The sequence below is a fragment of the Homo sapiens genome, chromosome X, assembly GCF_000001405.40.
Source record: "Homo sapiens chromosome X, GRCh38.p14 Primary Assembly".
Lineage (NCBI taxonomy): Eukaryota > Metazoa > Chordata > Mammalia > Primates > Hominidae > Homo > Homo sapiens.
Genome location: NC_000023.11, coordinates 3,656,934 through 3,675,838, shown reverse-complemented (window position 1 = coordinate 3,675,838; position 18,905 = coordinate 3,656,934). Strand labels below are relative to the sequence as shown.

The following is an 18,905-nucleotide window of genomic DNA, read 5'->3' as shown; positions in this document are numbered from 1 at the left end:
CACTGCACTATTCGTTCCATTAACCCAAGAACATTTATGCTACGTGAAGAATATTTCAATATGTGCGTGAACACGTGCACACCTTGTAGGATCAGTGTGTTACAGGAAGAGGAGGAGGATGAAGAGGAAGAAGAGGAGAGGGAGGAGGAGAAAGGAGGAGGAGGAACAAGCAAAGCTTGTTTAGAGATTTTGATTTTCTTTTATATCTCATTGACTATTAGATTTCTTCATTTACATGCACCCCAGTGGGAGGAAGAGGAGGGAGAGGAGGAGGAGATGGAGGAGGAGGAAGAAGTGGAAAAGAAAAGGATGTAGAGGAGAAGGAAGAGATGAAAGAGAAGGAGGAGAAGATTGAGGAAGAGAAAAAAGAGAAGGAAGAGATGGAGGAGGGGAAGGAGGAGAAGAGAGTGTTTGGATTGAAAATGTCCCAGCAGAATACAGTAGAGCTATTGGTTTTCTTTTATATTTGTAGTGGTTGCAGTTGTTGTTGTTGTTTTGTTTTCTGTTTGTGGGCACCTATATAGCACTTCATCCCAACCCACGCCAGATTGTAGAATACGGACTCCGTACTTTGAGCAAGCCTTAATGTGCGTTAAGGAAACAGCCGTGTTGAGGAGGGCTGTGTGTTTTACACCCTGTCTGTATTTCTGATAAAACCAGAGAGCCTGAAGAGAAAAAGGCATGTTATATAAATACATTTACTATTACTCTAATGCTTCTCCATGTGGGTGTGTGGGGCGTGTGGGTGTGCTGTGTGCGAAGACTGATCTGCAGAAATTATGGCCAGTTTGTCCCCAAATTGAGGAACCATTCAGAGGCAGATGGCTCTCTCTGTCTCCCTCTCTCTCCCTCTTTCTCTCTCTGCAATTTCTGTATTCAGTGGAAAATTCCAGGTGAGCGCCTCTCACTAAATGCCATCAGCCCACGTGCACCATGACACAAAGTCTCTGAAAGTTTCACTTGGGGTCTGTGTTTGCCGTCCTGGTGCAGCCCCCCGCTGATTGCATGGCTGTGGTGGTTTCTTCCTTTGTCGGAAGACTTAATGACCTCTGTCGATTTCTTCTCTCTCCAGGCACTGGGACGTTCGGGCGGGTGCACCTGGTGAAGGAGAAGACAGCCAAGCATTTCTTCGCCCTCAAGGTGATGAGCATTCCCGACGTCATCCGCCTAAAGCAGGAGCAACACGTACACAATGAGAAGTCTGTCCTGAAGGAAGTCAGCCACCCGTTCCTCATCAGGCTGTGAGTCCCCTCCTGAAGCCTCTCCCCACGCACTCTCCCTAGACCCCTGTGTGTCTCTTCTTATAAGAAGCTGGGTGGGCCGAGACCATGGCCTGCGTGCAAAGCCTTAGGCCACAGCAGTCTCCACCTGTCAGGTCTTATCAGCCTCTGATCTTAGAGCTGGAATACCTCCAGGGCTCCTGACCTCCATGGCTGACCAGGTCCAAAAAGAAACGCTCTGTGTTCAGAAGTCCGTGCCCAAGGCCCCTTGCTCCTCTCCTGGGTGAACCAAGTATCTCTGCCCGGAAAAGGATGCAGAAATCTTTGTCTCCTCACCTCCTTGGGTTCTGCATCTATAGCTCTCGGCAGAACTGGTTAAGTTGGTTTTTAAGGGACCACAGTCACGTGGACGGGGCTGGGCTTCAGGTTTCGTTGGGTTTCTGGTTGACTGTGGATGAGAGATACCCCGTTGAGATGCAGCCCACACACTTCCAGCTGATGGTACACAACAGTCTTATGTCCTAGGGTAGGTGTGATAGTCCATTCAGGCTGCTATAACAAAGGATCCTAGACTCGGTAATTTACAAATGACAGACATTTGCCTCATGGTTCTGGAGGCTGGAAAGTCCAAGATCAAGACACGGTGGATTCAGTGTCTGGCGAGGACCCGCTTCCTGGTTCATAGATGGCGCCTTTTCACTGTGTCCTCACATGGTGGAAGGGGTGAGGGATCTCTCTGGGGTCCCTTTTATAAGGGCACTCGTCCCATTCATGAGACTTCACCCTCATGACCTCCCAAAGGACACAACACCTAACACCATCACCTTGGGGGTGAGGATCCAACATAGGGATTTGGGAGGACACAAGATATTCAGACCATTCCAGCAGGGTAATTCCATTTCCACCCAGATGCCTTAGACAAGGATGTCCTGCGTGTCTCTCCTTTCCCTCCATGGGTGCCTTCCATCCAATTCCCACGTCTTCCCTCCGCCATCTTGCTACCATGCCTCTCCTGTCCACCTATCCATCTTCTGCTTTATCTGGGTCCCGTCTCTCTGCCCTGATTTTCTGTACTGGCTTCCCTCCTACCTGGTCTTTCTCTCCCAGCCTTGCTCCCCTTGAAGACATTCCTCACTTTATAGCCTCACTGGTCCTCCCAGGTACCTCTGCAATGACCTGCCTCTCTCCTTTCATCCTCAGGGTACTCCTGAAGTATCCCATATAAAGCCCCAGCAATGCAGCATCCTCCTACCAGTATCCTCGTGGACTGGCCCCCTGCCACCACCTCCCTACAGGAGAAGGTAGAAGGTGCTGTTCACACACTCATTCCGGGGCTTCTCCCAGGCCACCCTTCTTTGACAGGCCTCCTTCTTTGCTCTCATCATTGTCCTTCACTTCCCCCATCTAAGAAACACCTACCTGTTTTCCCTCATTCACCTGCTGTCCCCGGGACACAGGGTGCCTCCCATCATGTTCTTGAAGCACCTCGTGTGTACTGGAACAAGTGCACCTGCCTTCTCCTCTAGACCCAATGCTGCCTAAGCTCCGAACAAAATCATATGCAGAGGATGGGCGCGGTGGCTCCCTTCCTCCCTTCCTTTCTTCCTTTCTGCATTTCTCTTTCTTTCTTGACAGGGTCTCACTCCTTCTTGCCCAGGCTGGAATTCAGTGGCACAATCATGGCCCACTGCAGCCTCTGCCGCCTCCCAACTAGTTGAGACTACAGGTATATGCCACCATGCCTGACCAACTTTTAAAAGTTTTTGTAGGATGAAGTCTTGCTGTGTTGCCCAGGCTGGTCTCAAACTCCTGGCCTGAAGCAGTCCTCCAGCCTCAGCCTCCCAAAGTGCTGGGATTGCAGGTGTCAGCCCCTGCACCTGGACTGAGAATGCATGTCTGTTGTCTGCCGCGTCCCTCCACCCCAACCCCCAGTTTGTGGTACTTTGTTAATGATAGCCCTGAGGAACTCACACACACCCCCTGCGCCTCCTGGAGCAGGAGAGCAGCCGAGACGATGGGCTCCTGAGTACTCTACAGTTCAGAAATCTAAAATCCCACAGAAGAACCGCATGGACATGGGAGTGGGTGGAGTATACAAGTGAGAGAATTCCCCAGGATGGAATTCTTGAGCTCCCGCAAGTTAAAAAATAGGGAGGAGCTTGTAGAACAGAGCTTTAGTTAGGTAGTTCTCCTTTCTTCAAGGCAGGATAGCTCAAGACTGTTTTCCTTGGCAGATAAGGTGCATTCCTGCAGGGACGTGGATTCTGATTTTGATATTCCCTGCTTTCAATTAAGGAACAAAGTCGTTTATATTTCTTAAGTCTTATATAAAGCCCTAGAGACTTTAGAAATTCTATTCAAAGTTACCTATGTTGGTTTATTTTTATCTTTTATATAAAAAAGTATATATATAGATTTACATTTAGAGACGGGTTTTGCTCTGTGGCCCATCTTGGAGTGCAATGGTGCAATCACAGCTCACTGCGGCCCCAACCTCCCGGGCTTAAGCCATCCTCCTTCCTCAGCCTCCAGAGTAGCCGGGACTACAGGCACCCATCACTACACCCTGCTAATGTTTTTATTTATTTTTAATTTTTAAAAAACATATGTATATATTTTTCACAACCTCTTTGGTGAAGATAATGTTTTTGTTTTTTCTCTATGAACAGGGTCTTGCTATGTTGCCCAGGCTGGTCTTGAACTTTAGGCTGCAAGCAATCCACTTGCCTTGGCCTCCTGACATGCTGGGATTACAGGTGTGCACCACCACACCTACCTCATTTTAAAATTTTCTGTAGAGATGGGATCTTACTTTGCTGCCCAGGCTAGTCTCAAACTCCTGGGCTCAAATGATCTTCCCACCTCGGCCTCCCAACATGCTGAGATTATAGATGTGAGCCACCGTGCCTGGCCTATTTCTAACTTTTAAGGAGTGAAATTTCTCTGCACCGTGACAGCTTTTGAAGAGGACATTTTGGATGCTTCATGGGTTGTCCTTTGCCCGTACAGCTCACCGGCTCCTCCGAGTGCTGGTTACAGTCGAATGTGAGCTGTTATTTGTATGTCAGGTCCGCCTGGTGGTGTTGCCAAAAAGCATGAATTTTTCCTCATCATTTAAAGTCTACATGGAATTTAAGGCCACTTTCGATATTATTCTTGGGAGGATTTTATTCAGTGTTTTGGGAGAACATGGCAGGGGCTCATTTCAGAATTCTCTGATTTGGGGCCGAGCTCGGTGGCTCACACCTGTAATCCCTGCATTTTTGGAGGCCAAGGCGGAAGGATCACTTGAGACCAGGAGTTCCAGACCAGCCTGGGCAACATAGTGAGATCTCGTCTCTTAAGAAAAAAAATTAAAAAGAAAATTCTAGCCTGGCCAATATGGGGAAACCCTGTCTCTACTAAAAATACAAAAATTAGCTGGGCGTGGTGGCGCACGTCTATAACCCAGCTACTTGGGAGGCTGGGGCACTAGAATCTCTTGAGCCTGGGAGGCAGAGCTTGCAGTGAGCCAAGATCGTGCCACTGCACTGCAGCCTGGGTGACAGAGCAAGACTTTGTCTCAAAAAATAATAATAAATAAAAATAAATAAATAAATACAGTTCTTTGATTTTGAAATAGTGCAGAAAACAAGGCAGGCCCTGAAGTCCACAGCTCTCATGAAAAGTTTTGGATCTAGGGAAGTGATTGTCAACAATGAGCCTTTAAAGACTTAATGGTGATAGCAATTTACAGGTGACTTTTCCCAAAAAATGACAGAAAATGAGTTTGCCACTTGGGCATGTTGACTCACACTTATAATCCCAGCATTTTAGGAAGCTGAGGTGGGAGTGTCCCTTGCACCCAGGAGTTTGAGACCAGCCTGGGCAACATGGCAAGACCCTGTCTCTACAAAAAGTACAAAAATTAGCTGGGTGTGGTGGGGGGGCCTGTAGTCCCTGCTACTCAGGAGGCTGAGGTAGGGGGATCGCTTGATCCTGGGAGGCGGAGATTGCAGTGAGCCGAGATTGTGCCACTGCACTCCAGCCTGGGGGACAGAGCAAGACCCTGTCTCAAAAAAGAATCCGAAAAACAATGTAGACTTGGAGGGGGTGATGTAACTTAGCCCATGAGACCGCCTTAGTGACTTGCTGATAATTGATCTTTCGGTGCCCTGCAGTATTATGATAACCTGCTATAGCATTTTGCTTTTTCTGTGCATTAACACTTTAGGGACCAAGTGGCTTTAAGAACTGGATTAAAGTTGATCCAGTGCATTCAGACACTTGGCATTCCCTGTACATAACACGAGAGAGCACGCCGGGTCTGGCCAGCCCCATGGATAAGATGCTGGAGGGTGTCCAACGTTGCATGCTGAGGAGCATGTCTTAGAGGAGAATCCTAGATCCTCTGTGAAGAATGAATTTCATCCTCCCAGCTGTGCAGCTTCTCTTCTAAATGTAAGTTGCCTTGCTCAACATCTGCTTCCCATACGGGCAGTTTTAGGCCTTGGACTTCTTGATGAAGGTATAAAACGAGGACTTTCAGCGGAGGTGCCTCCCATTTATGGCTGGAGGAGTCTCTGGGGTGGGGCCGTCCTGCACACTTCAGGGTGTTGGGGAGTGTCCCTGGGCTCCACCCACCAGCGGCCAGGAGCAGCAACCTCAGTTATGAAAAGCAGAAATGTCTCCATACATAACCAAGTGTTCCTTCAGGGAGGGAGGGCAAAGTTTTCTCCACTAGTGAACCACTGTGATAGACAGACGACGGACAGAGAGAGATGATAGATACGATAGGTAGGTATATGTTGAGATGGATAGGTGATAGATAATAGATATTAAGATAGGTGTAAATGATGGGTGATTGATAGGTGAGTAGATAGATGATGGGTAGCTAATAGATGATATTAAGATAGGTGATAGATAATAGATACTAATATATACAGCTATAGATGATAGATGATATTGAGGTGGGTAGGTGATTGATTGATAGATTAATGACCGATTGCATGTAGGCAGAGCTCTCATGCTAAAAGAGAGTTTCTCAACCTCAGCAGTGCTGACACATGGGGCGGGATCATGGAGGACTCTGTGGTGGGGCATCCTGTGCACTGTAGGGTGTTGAGCAGCGTCCCTGGACTCCACCCAGCAGATGCCAAGAGCACCCATCCCATCTATGACGAGTATCTAAAGATGTCTCTAGATACTGCTAAGTTCCCCCTATGGGGGGACAAAAAGTTATCCCCAGTTGTGAACCACTGTGACAGATAGTTGATGGATGGATGGATGGATGGATGGATGGATGGATGGATGGATGGATGGAGATCAACATTGAGACAGATATTTGATAGATGACAGATATTGAGGTAGATGATAGCTATAGATGATAGATGGTTGATAGATATTAGATAAGTGATTGATAGATGATAGCTATAGATGATAGCTGATTGATAGATAGCTGGTAGCTATAGATGGTAGATGGTTGATAGATATTGAGATAGATAGGTGATTGATTGATAGATTGATGATGGAACGTATTAGTAGAGTTTCTCAACCTCAGCACTGCTGACATTTGGGGCTGGAGGATTCTCTGCGGTGGAACCGCCCTGTGCACTGTAGGGTGCTGAGCAATGTCTCTGGGCTCCACCCACCAGATGCCTCTAGCACCCCCACTCCAGCGTGACAGCCAAAGATGTCTCCAGACATTGTCCAGTGTTTATTGTGGGGAGCAGAATCAGCTCCATTGACACCCACTGTAGCGGATGCACAGACAGATAAATACCTGTGCGTGTGGAGTCCCTTTCTCCCTTTTCTGCCCCAGCCCCTGAGCCTGCAGCCCCACTCTTCTGTCATGATTGATTGGCTTATGGGCCAAACAGTGGTTCCAGTGCCATATTATCTATGGCACAGCAGCCGAGCCAAGCCAGTGGGTTTGGTCTGTGGTTGCAGGGCTTAGCCAGCTTTCTTCTACAGAACTTGGAAGGCAAGAGGTCTCTCCACTCCGGGCCACATCCTTCTAGTTCCTGGATGACCGCTCGTTTCTCCATGGAGAGGAGTTCATGCCAGAACCTCTTCTTCGGGGAGAGTGGATGCATCTCTTGGAAACATCTTTTTTTAAAGTCTGCAGACTTGAGTGTGGTCCCCATTGTCATTGGTACTTGTTGGGGGTAGGAGTAAAATCATTCCTTTGTTTTACTGAGAGTTCAGGAAGAAAGAACACCATGTTCTCTCCTTTTATTTATTTATTTATTTTGCTCTCTATTTGAATTTTAAAGGCAAAAATCTAGAAATAGCGCTTCTTGCTCTGTCATCACTGCCTGCAAAGCACAGAGACCAGAGTGAAGGCAGGCAGCTCCTGGGTCTTCTCTTCCTCTTCTTTGTCCAAAAAATGATACATTGCATGTTTAGTATTTGGGGCAAAGCAGACGCTTCAAAAAGGGAGGCTTATTTTATTATCTATATTTTTCTTTTTTATTATTTTTTACCTTGATTCCCTTTTTCTATGTATGAAAAGGGAGGTTTAAGTTCTTGCAAGAGAATGCAACTGTAGTGTCTTCTGAATGGAGTTTTCCATTTGATGCCAAGCCTTCCAGTGCCTTGGTCTAAGGAGAACTGCGTAGGGTGAGAAGAGTCCCAGCGATACGTGGAAAAGGGGCCTTACCAGCTCTGGAGGGCAAGAGGTAGGGGGTGAAGACGCAGTGGACACCTAAGGAGAATTTTGCAGGAGGAGTAGGGGTTTATTGGCTGAAAGGGGTGGGTGGTGGAAACTCATTCTAGACAGGGAGTGACACGGAAGCCATGGGTCACTACGGGGCAGGAGGGACATGGGGGAGAAACTCAAATCTGAGTTCAGCCAGGAGGTGGACACAGGAATGCAGTGAACCCAGATGTGTAGGAGACTGCCATGGGGACTGGGGTATGAGGAAGGACTGGCTCTGGCTCGGCTGTGCATATAAGGAAGGACTGGCTCTGGCTCAGCTGTGCATTTGGGCTGCTGGACAGTGAGGAGATCCAGGGAGAGAGAGTGCATTCCAATTTGGGAAACTTTGAGGGCAAAACATCTGCAGCAACTGTCTCAGAAGAGAGCCTGAGGCAGGGTCCTTGGAGGGAGGAAGCCACAGGTGGATGGAGCCACCGAGGGCTGCTAGGTCACCTTGGTTAAGGGCTAGTTGCAGTGCAGCCAGGTCGGAAAGTAGAGCCGTTCTGGAGCCTCACATGGCATAGATGTTGGAGGAGATGGGATGAGGATGGCTCATTTTCTTCTTCTCACCACAAAAGCCCAGCTTTATGGCGGGCTCTGGAGAGAGGAGGACCAACTTCTACGGTAAGGCGTCTCCAAATTAGTGAGGCTGATTTGCCTGTTCATAAAAACAAAAACAAAAGCAAAAAAATCCCTTAGAGGACAAGCCATCCCCGCAGACCCTGCAAATAAAAGACTGCAGATCAGCTTCGCGGATGGAAAAGTGCTGCTGTCAGCTAAAGATGAGGACAGAGCTGCTCAGCTGAGGTCACTGGAGAGGATGGGGAGGGGACTTGGAAACCTCCCTTGTCTCAGTCGTTGTTGACGACATTGACTCTTTCTTCATGTTGACTTTCCCCCCGTTCATAGATTCATAGATTGCTCTCTATGCTGGAAAACATTCTTTAAAATTTAATTTTTTTATTTTGTTAACATATATCACATAACAGTTTACTATTTTAACTTCCTTTTTTTTTTTTTTTTTTTTTAAAAGAAATGAGGTCTTGCTCTGTTGCCCAGGCTGCAGTGTACTGGTGCAATCATGGCCCACTGCAGCCTCAACCTCCTGGGCTCAGGTGATCCTCCTGCCTCAGCCTCCCAAGTAGCTGGGACTACAGGTGCGCACTACCACGCCTGGCTAATTTTTTAATTTTTGGTAGAGACAGGGTCTCGCTGTGTTGCACAGGCTGATCTCCAACTACCAGGCTCAAGCAGTCCTCCTACCTCAGGCTCTCAAGTTGAGCTGGGACTATAGGCACATGCCACCATGCCCAGTTAATATTTTAATTTTTGGCAAACATGTGATCTTGCTTTGTTGCCCAGGCTGTTCTCAAACTCCTGATCTCACTCAATCCTCCTGCCTTGGCCTCTCAAAGTGCTGAGATTACAGGCATGAGCGTCCATGCCCGGCCTCATTTTAACCATTTTTAAAATGTACAGTTCACGGCTGGGCGTGGTGGCTCACGCCTGTAATCCCAGCACTTTGGGAGGCCGAGGTGGACGGATCACGAGGTCAGGAGATCAAGACCATCCTGGCTAACACAGTGAGACCCCGTCTCTACTAAAAATACAAAAAAATTAGCTGGGCGTGGTGGCGGGTGCCTGTAGTCCTCAGCTACTTGGGAGGCTGAGGCAGGAGAACGGCATGAACCTGGGAGGCAGAGTTTGCAGTGAGCCAAGATCGCACCACTGCACTCCAGCCTGAGTAACAGAGCGAGACTCTGTCTCAAAAAAAAAAAAAAAAAAAATGTACAGTTCACTACTCGGGAGGCTGAGGCAGGAGGATCACTTCAACCCAGGAGGCGGAGATTGCAGTGAGCTGAGATTGTGTCGCTGCACTCTATCCTGGGCAACAGAGTAAGACTCTGTCTCAAAAAAAAAAAAACAGAAAACAAAAAAAACAAAACACTGTTTAGTGGCATGGAGCACATTCATGTTTCTGTGCAACCGCCACCCCATCCCCATCCCCATCCCCATCCATCTCCAGAACTCCTTTTCATCTTCCCCAACTGAAACTCTGTCCTCATGAAACACGCCTTATTGCCCCTCCCTCCAGCCCTGCCCTGGCAACCTCCCTCGTACTCTCTGCTCTATGAATTTGGTGATTCTAGGAGCCTTATATAGGCAGAATCATACGGCATTTGTCCTTTTGCGACTGGCTTCTTTCAGTTACTGTAATGTCCTTCAGATTCCCCCGTCCTGTAGAAAGGAATTTCCCTCCTTTCTAAGCCTGAGTACTATTCCATCGTATAGAGGATACAGCATGTTGTGTTTACCCATTCATTCATCCTTGGACACTGGGGTGCCTTCCACCTCTTGGCTGTAGTGAATAATGCTGCTATGAACAAGGTTTGGCAAATATCTGTCCAGTGCCTGATTTCAGCTGCTTGAATACATTGTTTTAATTTATTATTATTATTTTTTAGAGATGGAGTCTCGCTCTGTCACCCCAGCTGGAGTGCAGTGTTGTGATCTTGGGTCACTGCAACCTGTGCCTCCTGGGTTCAAGCGATTCTTCCAACTCAGCCTCCTGAGTAGCTGGGATTACAGGCATGCACCACCACCCCCAGCTAATTTTGTACTTTTAGTAAATATGGGTTTTCACCTTGTTGACTGGGCTGATCTGGAATTCCTCATTGCCAGGTAACTATTTCACAGCCTGGTATGGATCCTTCTGTACTTTTCTTTGTGTTAAAAAAGCCCCCTCACACAAACGCACACACACAAGCACGCACACACACAAGCACACACACGTGCACGTGCACACACACATGCACGCACACATATATGCATGCACACACACACACGCGCGCGCCCCGTGCAGTTTTGGCCTCATGCCACTAGAGTATGCATCATTTTTGTCTCTTGTTTTCTTGGAGATCCCTCTGGGGTATTTTGAGGAGGAGAAGTTGTATTATTATTGTGTTGTTGTTAATCTTTAGACATTCAGGGATACACGTGGACGTTTGGTACATGGATGTATCATGTTATGGTGAGCTTTGGGCTTCTAGGGTACCCCTTACCCGAATAGTGAACATTGTACCCAATAGGTTATTTCTCAGCCCTCAACCCCTTCCCAGCCTTCCCCTTTTGGGAGTCCCCGTATCTGTTATTTCCATTTCTGTGTCCATGTGGACCCACTGTTGAGCTCCTACTTTTGAGTGAGACTATGCGGTATTTGACTTTCTGTGTCTCAGTTATTTTACTTAGGATAGTGGTTTCCAGTTCCATCCCTGTCGTTGCAAAAGACATGATTTTATTTTTTATGGTGGTGTCGATATACTACATTTTCTGTGACTTTTATATACTAAATTTTCTTTATCCAGTCATCTATTGGAATGGCTGTTACAAAAACTCAAAAAAATCCAGGCATGGTGGCCCACGCCTATAATCCCAGCACTTTGAGAGACCCAGGCAGGAGGATCGCTTGAGCCCAGGAGTTTTAGAACAGCCTGGGCAATATAGGGAGACCCTGTCTCTACAAAAAGCTCGAAGAAATAGCGAGGGATGGTGTTGCACGCCTATAGTCACAGTTCTTCAGGAGGCTGAGGTGGGAGAATTGCTCGAGCTCAGGAGTTGAAGGTTGCAGTGATCTATGGTTGCGCCACTGCACTCCAGCCTATGCAACAACAGAGCGAGACCCTATCTAGGAAAAAAACAAAAAAGTAAGAAAACAACAGATGTTGGTGTGGAAGTGGAGGAAAGGGGCCATGGATGCGCTGCTGGTGCGGAGGAGGTCTTCCAGTGCGTGCAGCAGGGGAGGTGACCTCACTTCTCCTCGAGAGGAGCTCAGCTGTGCAAGGCAGTGTTGCAGAGGATGGGAGGGTGCATGTGACCCTAGGAGCAAGGCTGTGTGCCTGTGGGCATGTACTTCCTGGTGACGTTTCCTTGGACCCCACAGTGGGAAACAGGAGCCCCTCTGCCCTCTCATTCCTCTTTCTCTGTATTTGCATTCGCTGTCTTGCTGGTCTCAAGATTCCCAAGCGCTGCTGCCAGCCCACCCCTTCAGCCTGCCAAGCTACATGTGTGCGCCCACTTGACCACTCTCTGAGCCTTCTGCTCAGATGCCTCTCACCAAAAATGAGTTCCTGCTCTTCCTCCTTGCCCCTCAGCCCTAATCAGTTCCTCATTTGCACTTCCCCATTTCATAGGTGGTCCTTCCAGCTCTTGGGGCTCACCCAGGAACCATTTTTTATTCCTTTTCTTTGACTCTGCATTCACTGTAATCCTGAGTCCTGCCCTTTTAACTTTTTTTTTTTTTTTTTTTTTTAAGAGATGTGGTCTTGCCGTCTCATCCAGGCTGGAGTGCAGTGGTGCAATCATGGCTCACTGCATCCTTGACCTCCTGGGCTCAAGAGATCCTCCCACCTCAGCCTCCCAAGTAGCTGGGACCACAAGTGCACACCACTATGTCCAGCTAATTGAATTTTTTTGTGTGTGTGTGTGTGTGTGTGTGTGTGTGTGTGTGTGTGTGTAGGGACAAGATCTCACTGTGTTGCTCAGGCTGGTCTCAAACTCATAATTTCAAGCATTTCCCCTGCCTCAGCCTCCTAAGTAGCTAGGATTATAGGTGCACACCGCCATGCCTTGCCCCTTTCCAATTCTCAAACACATCTCCAGAGCCCATCCACATCAATGATGTCTTCACAGAAGCTGCCATAGCTTATCTAAATTCCCTCCCCTTCTCTCCACTGATCTCTGATCTCTGCTGAACTCACCCCTTCCTGCTGTATCAGCCCAAACGTTTCTGATGTGAAAATAGGCAGGGCGTAGTGGCTCATGCCTATAATCTCAGCACTGTCAGAGGCTGAGGTGAGAGGATTGCTTGAGGCCAGGAGTTTGAGACCAACCTGGGCATCTTAGTGAGACCCCATCTCTAATTTTTTTTTTTTTTTTTTTTTTAAAGACAGGGCCTTTCTCTGTTGCCCAAGATGGAGTGCAGTGGTGCCATCATAGTTCACTGCAGCCTCATTCTCCTGGGCCCAAGTTATCCTCCCACCTCAGCCTCCCAGATAGTTGGGACTACAGGCCTGCACCACCAAGCCTGGCTGATTTTTAAATTTTGGGGGTCTTGCTATGTTGCCCAGGCTGATCTTGAACTCCTGGGCACAAGTGATTCTGCTACCTCTGTCTCTCAAGTAGATAGGAGTACAGGTGCATATCACCATGCCCACCTAATTTTTAATTTTTTTTTTTTTTTTTTTTTGAGATGGAGTCTCACTCTGTCCCCCAGGCTGGAGTGCAGTGGTGTGATCTTGGTTCACTGCAAGCTCCGCCTCCCAGGTTCACGCCATTCTCCTGCCTCAGCCTCCCAAGTAGCTGGGACTACAGGCGCCCGCCACCACATCCAGCTAATACTTTGTATTTTTAGTAGAGATGGGGTTTCACCATGTTAGCCAGGATGGTCTCGATCTCCTGACCTCGTGATCCACCTACCTTGGCCTCCCAAAGTGCTGGGATTACAGGCATGAGCCACTGCGCCTGGCCCTAATTTTTAATTTTTTGTAGAGACGTGATCTTGCTTTGTTGCCTAGGCTGGTTTTGAGCTCCTGGGCTCAAGCGATCTGCCACCTTGGCCCCGCAAAGTGCCGGAATTACAGACGTGAGCCACCGCACCTGGCCTCCAGCTCTTTTGTGTCTCTCCCCAATCTTCCTTTGGCCTTCAGCTGTGGGGACAGAGATGCCCCCTGCCTCCCTGTCCCCACCTTCTACCTGGTCTTACAGGACCCCCTCCAGCCATCCTTCCAAGTTTACTATGTAATGTCTGTTCCACATCAAGCCTGCAAAGCTCATGACAGTCACAAGATCTGCCGTTCCTGATACTATGTACCGAGAACATTACTTGGCACATAAGGGGCCCTTGTCCAAAACATTTGGAAACCAATAAAGAATGTGGCTGGTGAGTTACTGATTAATGTGTTGATGAATTCATTGATTGCTGAGGCTAGTATGTACAGTAAGTGTTAGATCTTGAACATACTTCTCATATCCATTGTGATAAACCCTCTTATCTTCTATTGCTTTTGAACTTTTATAGACTTGATGTCAGGGGCAGAGTCCCTCAGGTAACTGGAATCATTGAACTGATGCATTGGTTTCTAATTTTCTAAGCTCAGATTTGAAATCACCTGTGGTCACTAAACTCGTCCTATCCCACAGCCCCTGCACATGATGACTTAAGTTTTGTGAATGTTTTTTGGAGATAGTAAAGTCAGTATCTCTTTCAACATTTTGTTCCTTATCTTTAGTGATACCCAGCTCTGTACAAATTCTGTCCACGTAAGCAAAGTCTTTTTTTTTTTTTCCAGATAGGGTCTGGCTCTGTCACTGAGGCTGGAGTGCAGAGGTTCAGTCATAGCTTCAACTCCTGGGCTCAGGCTGTCCTGCTGCCTCAGCCTCTTAAGTACCTGGGACTACAGGCCTGCACAACCACACCTAGCTAATCTTTTTATTTTTTGCAGAGACAGAGTCTCCCTATTTTGCCCAGGCTAGTCTCAAACTCTTGGTCTCAAGTGATCCTCCTGCCTCAGTTTCCCAAAGTGCTGGGATTACAGGTGTGAGCCACCACACTCGCCTGCAAAGTCTTACTGATAAAAGATTTGAAGGAAGGATGTGTCAGAGAACTTCTTTTTTCTTATAATATTTACTTAATCTTATTGGTTTGGGGAAGGGCAAGAGAATCCCAGTTATCTAGATTTTTCTTTTTCTTAAAGGAGTATGTTTTTACTTGCTAACTCTCTTTGTAAACTGTTACTTCTTAAAGATGCTGAAGGGTGATCCCGCATTAGTGTATAGGTAAAAATGATGTCTCCATTTCATATATACTGATAAGGTGACTTTATTAAGCCTTGTGGTTTGTTGATGTTGATTTTACTGAGACACTTGTGGAACAGATGTATTTTCATACAACCTTACACATCTCAGTAGTTTTCCCCACTCGTGCAGTAACTTTTTCTCCCCTGCTTTCTCTCCTCCTCTCCCCACCTCTTCTTCCTTCCCCTCCTCTCCTCGTCCCTTCCCTCCTCTTCTCATTTGATACAAAGCCCTAACTCTCTTCCTCTACAGATCATCCTACCCATGGTTGAAATTGCAACTTCCCCTGCAAGCCAAGTGACCGAACCTGAGATGTTTGTATTGTCAGGGCTTGCGTATTCTACATGCCTGTGTAATCCTCAAAGTTCTTTCATTCCTTGCTTCTAACCTACCCAAATCCTTCTAATCTCCCACCATGGTTAATTATCTCTGATGCTCCTGAAAGGTGACCTGCTGCTACATTGTGACAAGGTGATGCATTATTCTTAAGAGGATCTGTGCAGATTATTATCCCAGAGTGAGGTAGATGGGGGAGGATACAGGATATATCCAAAAATGTGTTGCAAGCTAATTGATAGAGAGAGAGAGAGTGTGTTTGTATGTGTGTGTGTAAGCATGCGTCCATCTTTTTCTTACATATTTGAGCCATAGGGAAGTAGAGCCATGTATATTCTCTTCAACCAAATTAACAGTTGTAGACAGTGGTCTTGCTATTGCTTTGACTATTAATGGTATTTTCAAGAGCTCAGTGTTACCCCCAAATGTTCAGTATCACACCTTGGCTGGTCAGTCGTAGCTAAATTTTCCTTCCACCTTGCGCCCTGAAGAAATTTAGAAAGTCACCAGCTGACACAGAAGTTTATTGTAAAAGTTCACTAGTACGATAGTATTTGGACCTTGGAAAATATTTCCCCACCAGAACAGTGAAATCATGAAATCATGGTTGTCTTCTAAGCTCATCCACAAAAGTACAGTTTGACTGTCATGCATTTGAGATGCCATGTGCTTAATCACGAAATATTACTGAGAGGAACACTCTTGCCCAACCAATAACGGTGCAAAGCAGAAAAACAGGGCATTTAGCTGGGAGAAAATGAGTCGAGATGTCAGTGATAAGATGGAAGGAATGTGGGTATGTGCTGGGTCTTTTAGAACTCCAGCAGATTGCTCTGGAAAACAGCCACTACATACCAAAAGTAGCCGGTCATGGTGGCATGCGCCTGTAATCCCAGCTACTCGGGAGGCTGAGGCGGGAGAATCACTTGAACTCGGGAGGCGGAGGTTGCAGTGAGCCAAGATCGTGCCATTGCACTCCAAGCCTGGGTGACAGAGCAAGACTGTCTCAAAAAAAAAAAAAACAAAAAAAAAAACAAAAAAAACACCACTCCAACAAAATACTTCTCCTTCCTCATATAGTGTCCCTGCTTCCCTTTATGCCTCAAGACCACACATTTTGAACTTGCTGAGCTATAAGAAGTGAATGGAGAGGTGGGACACAGGTGCACAGCCTTCAGTAACTGAAGGAAAAAAAACAGAAGAAATGTCTAACCCTGAGCTTCCTGAGCTCCCTTCAGCCACCCAGCTGCTGAGGGGCAGGAATCCAGCAGCAAGGTGGAGAGCAGAAGGCATTCCTGCAACCTGTATGTGTGGGTCATTAGTCCCCCACCTCCAGCATCATTGCAGAATCTGCAAATTTAAAAGTGCGTTAGGTAAGAGCCTTTTTTATAAGAGGCCCATATTTTTGCTAATACATAAAAACATTGTGATTAGTCAAATAAATGTTCATTTAAAATTCACAGTAGCATGTGTCTATTTTTTTTTTTTTTTCCTTTTAGAAATGAGGTCTTGCTCTGTCACCCAGGTTGGAGTACAGTGATGTTGTGATCATAGCTCACTGCAGCCTCCAATTCCTGGGCTCAAATGATCTTCCCACCTCAGCCTCCCGAATTGCTGGGATGCCACCATGCCTGGCTGATTCTTTTATTGTAGAGACGGGATCTTGCTGTGCTGCTCATGCTGCTTTCCAACACCTGGCCTCAAGTGATCCTCCTGCCTTGGCTTCCCAAAGTGCTGGAATGACAGGCATTGAGCCGCCGTGCCCAGCCTATGATTTTTCTTAGCATTAATCTCTGTGTCATTGCAAGCTGTCTCCCACGTCCTTGCCTTCATTCTACATTGTTTTGGTGGAATGGCCTGTGCTAGCAGACAAGACCATCCGGTCGACCTTGAGCATCCTTCCCTGTCCTCAGGGAAGGTTTCCTGGGCCTCATTTTGTTTTCTTTGTATACCAGCGGGGTGCAGCTCATTTGAATGAGCTTGCAGGGGAGCATCTGTGATAGCATCATGATCAGATGAGACAAAACTGGCACGGGTCCTGGTCATGGTTGAAGACCTTTATGCTCCTGATTCTATTGGGTGTCTTCTACTGGTGAAGGCTCATGTGCTCATGGGAACACGGGCATGCTGGTGTCTTCCGAGTCCTCTCCAAAAACAAAGCCCAGGTCAGGTACAGTGGCTCACGTTTGTAATCCCAGCACTTCGGGAGGATGAGGCGGGAGGATTGCTGGAGCCCTGGAGTTCAAAACCAGCCTGGGCAACACAGTGAGACCCTGTCTCTACAAATAACAGTAAATAAAAATTAGCCAGGCATGGTGGCATGCACCTGTAGTCCTAGCTACTTGGGAGGCTGAGGTGAGAGGATTGCTCGAGCCCGGGAAGTTGAGGCTGCATGAGCCTTACCTGCACCACTGCACTCCAGCCTGGCAGACAGAATAAGAACCTGTTTCAGAAACAAACAGACCGGGCACGGTGGCTCATGCCTGTAATCCCAGCATTTCTGGAGGCCGAGGCGGGTGGATCGCCTGAGGTCAGGAGTTCGAGACCGGCCTGGCCAACATGGTGAAGCCCCATCTCTACTAAAAATACAAAAATTAGCTGGGCGTGGTGGTGGGCGCCTATAATCCCAACTACTTGGGAGGCTGAGGCAGGAGAATCGCTTGCACCCAGGAGGCGGAGGTTGCAGTGAGCCGAGATTGCACCGTTGCACTCCAGCCTGGGCAACAAGAGCAAAACTCTCTGAAAAACAAACAAACAAAAATCCCAAAGCCCTTAGTTCCAAATCTTGCCTCATACCCCACCCGTCCCATCTTTAGGTGAAAACGTTCTTTCATTATCAGTGCGTATCTCTCCAAACTGTATTTGTAACTTGTGCTGAGATGTTGAATGCACAGACGCACCTCAGTATCTTCTGTTCCTTCTTTCATCCCTACCCCCACCTTCCTCAATCTCTCATTGCTGCGTTTTCTTCCATTAATCAACACCTTTGTAAGGAGAAGCACCTCAGGCAAGCTCCCACAAGCAAGTGCTTCGAAATACTTCATTTGGGGCTTTTTAAAAGGGCTACCTTTTCCTAGCAGGTTTGGGATGCAGTCTGCTAGTTTATTGTTAATTCTCAGGCTTAATGATAGTTCCAGGTTACTGAATCAGGTGTGATCTCTGAAGATGTGTGTGTTGTAGGTTAGTTAGTTAGTGCTGCCATAACAAAGTAGCATAGACGGTGTGGATTAAACAACACTGATTTATTGTTTTATAATTTTTGAGGCTAGAATTTTGAGAAGAACGTCTTAACAGGGCTGGTGCCTCCTGAGCCCTCTCTCCTTGGCTTGCAGACGCTGTCTTCTCCCTGTGTCCTCACGTGGTCGTCCCTCTGTGTGTGTCTGTGTCCTCATCTCCTCTTCTTAGGACTCCAGTCCTGTTGGAATAGGGCCCATTCTAGTGACCACATTTTACCGTAATCACCTGTTTACATGACCTGTCTCCAAATACAGTGGATATTGGAAGGACACAGTTCAGCCCATAGCATACTGTTGGCTGGTTTATTATGAGACCATGATATTTACTATTCATTCATCCCAAGACAATGAGACCTTTTACCCATGTCCCAGGATACACATATCTTAACATCTGCTGTTGTCTGAATACGTCCTTTCCAAATTCATATATTGAGACAGTAACCCCCAAAGCTATGGAATTAAAAGGTGGAGCTTTGGGGGAAGTGATTAGATCGTGAGGGTGAAGCCGCTGAACAGGACCAGTGCCCTCGGTGAAGGGGCCTGAGGGAGCCCGTTTCCCCTTGGTCCATGGGAGGACAGCGA

The 18,905-nt window shown here is 47.3% G+C and overlaps 1 protein-coding gene and 1 long non-coding RNA gene across 2 annotated transcripts in view; one reads left to right on the top strand and one right to left on the bottom strand.

The window, feature by feature from the left end:
- PRKX (protein kinase cAMP-dependent X-linked catalytic subunit) overlaps positions 1–18,905 on the top strand; it is a 109,310-nt gene that overhangs the window by 37,811 nt on the left and 52,594 nt on the right. The window contains exon 2 of the mRNA NM_005044.5: positions 1,073–1,241. Coding sequence (NP_005035.1) covers positions 1,073–1,241 — 169 coding nt within the window. The remainder of the gene's footprint in view (positions 1–1,072; positions 1,242–18,905) is intronic.
- On the bottom strand, positions 7,647–16,352 carry PRKX-AS1 (PRKX antisense RNA 1). Its single transcript, NR_046643.1, has 3 exons — positions 16,301–16,352; positions 8,353–8,557; positions 7,647–7,905 (listed from the first exon to the last, which is right to left on the bottom strand). It is a non-coding gene; the product is annotated as a PRKX antisense RNA 1 (long non-coding RNA).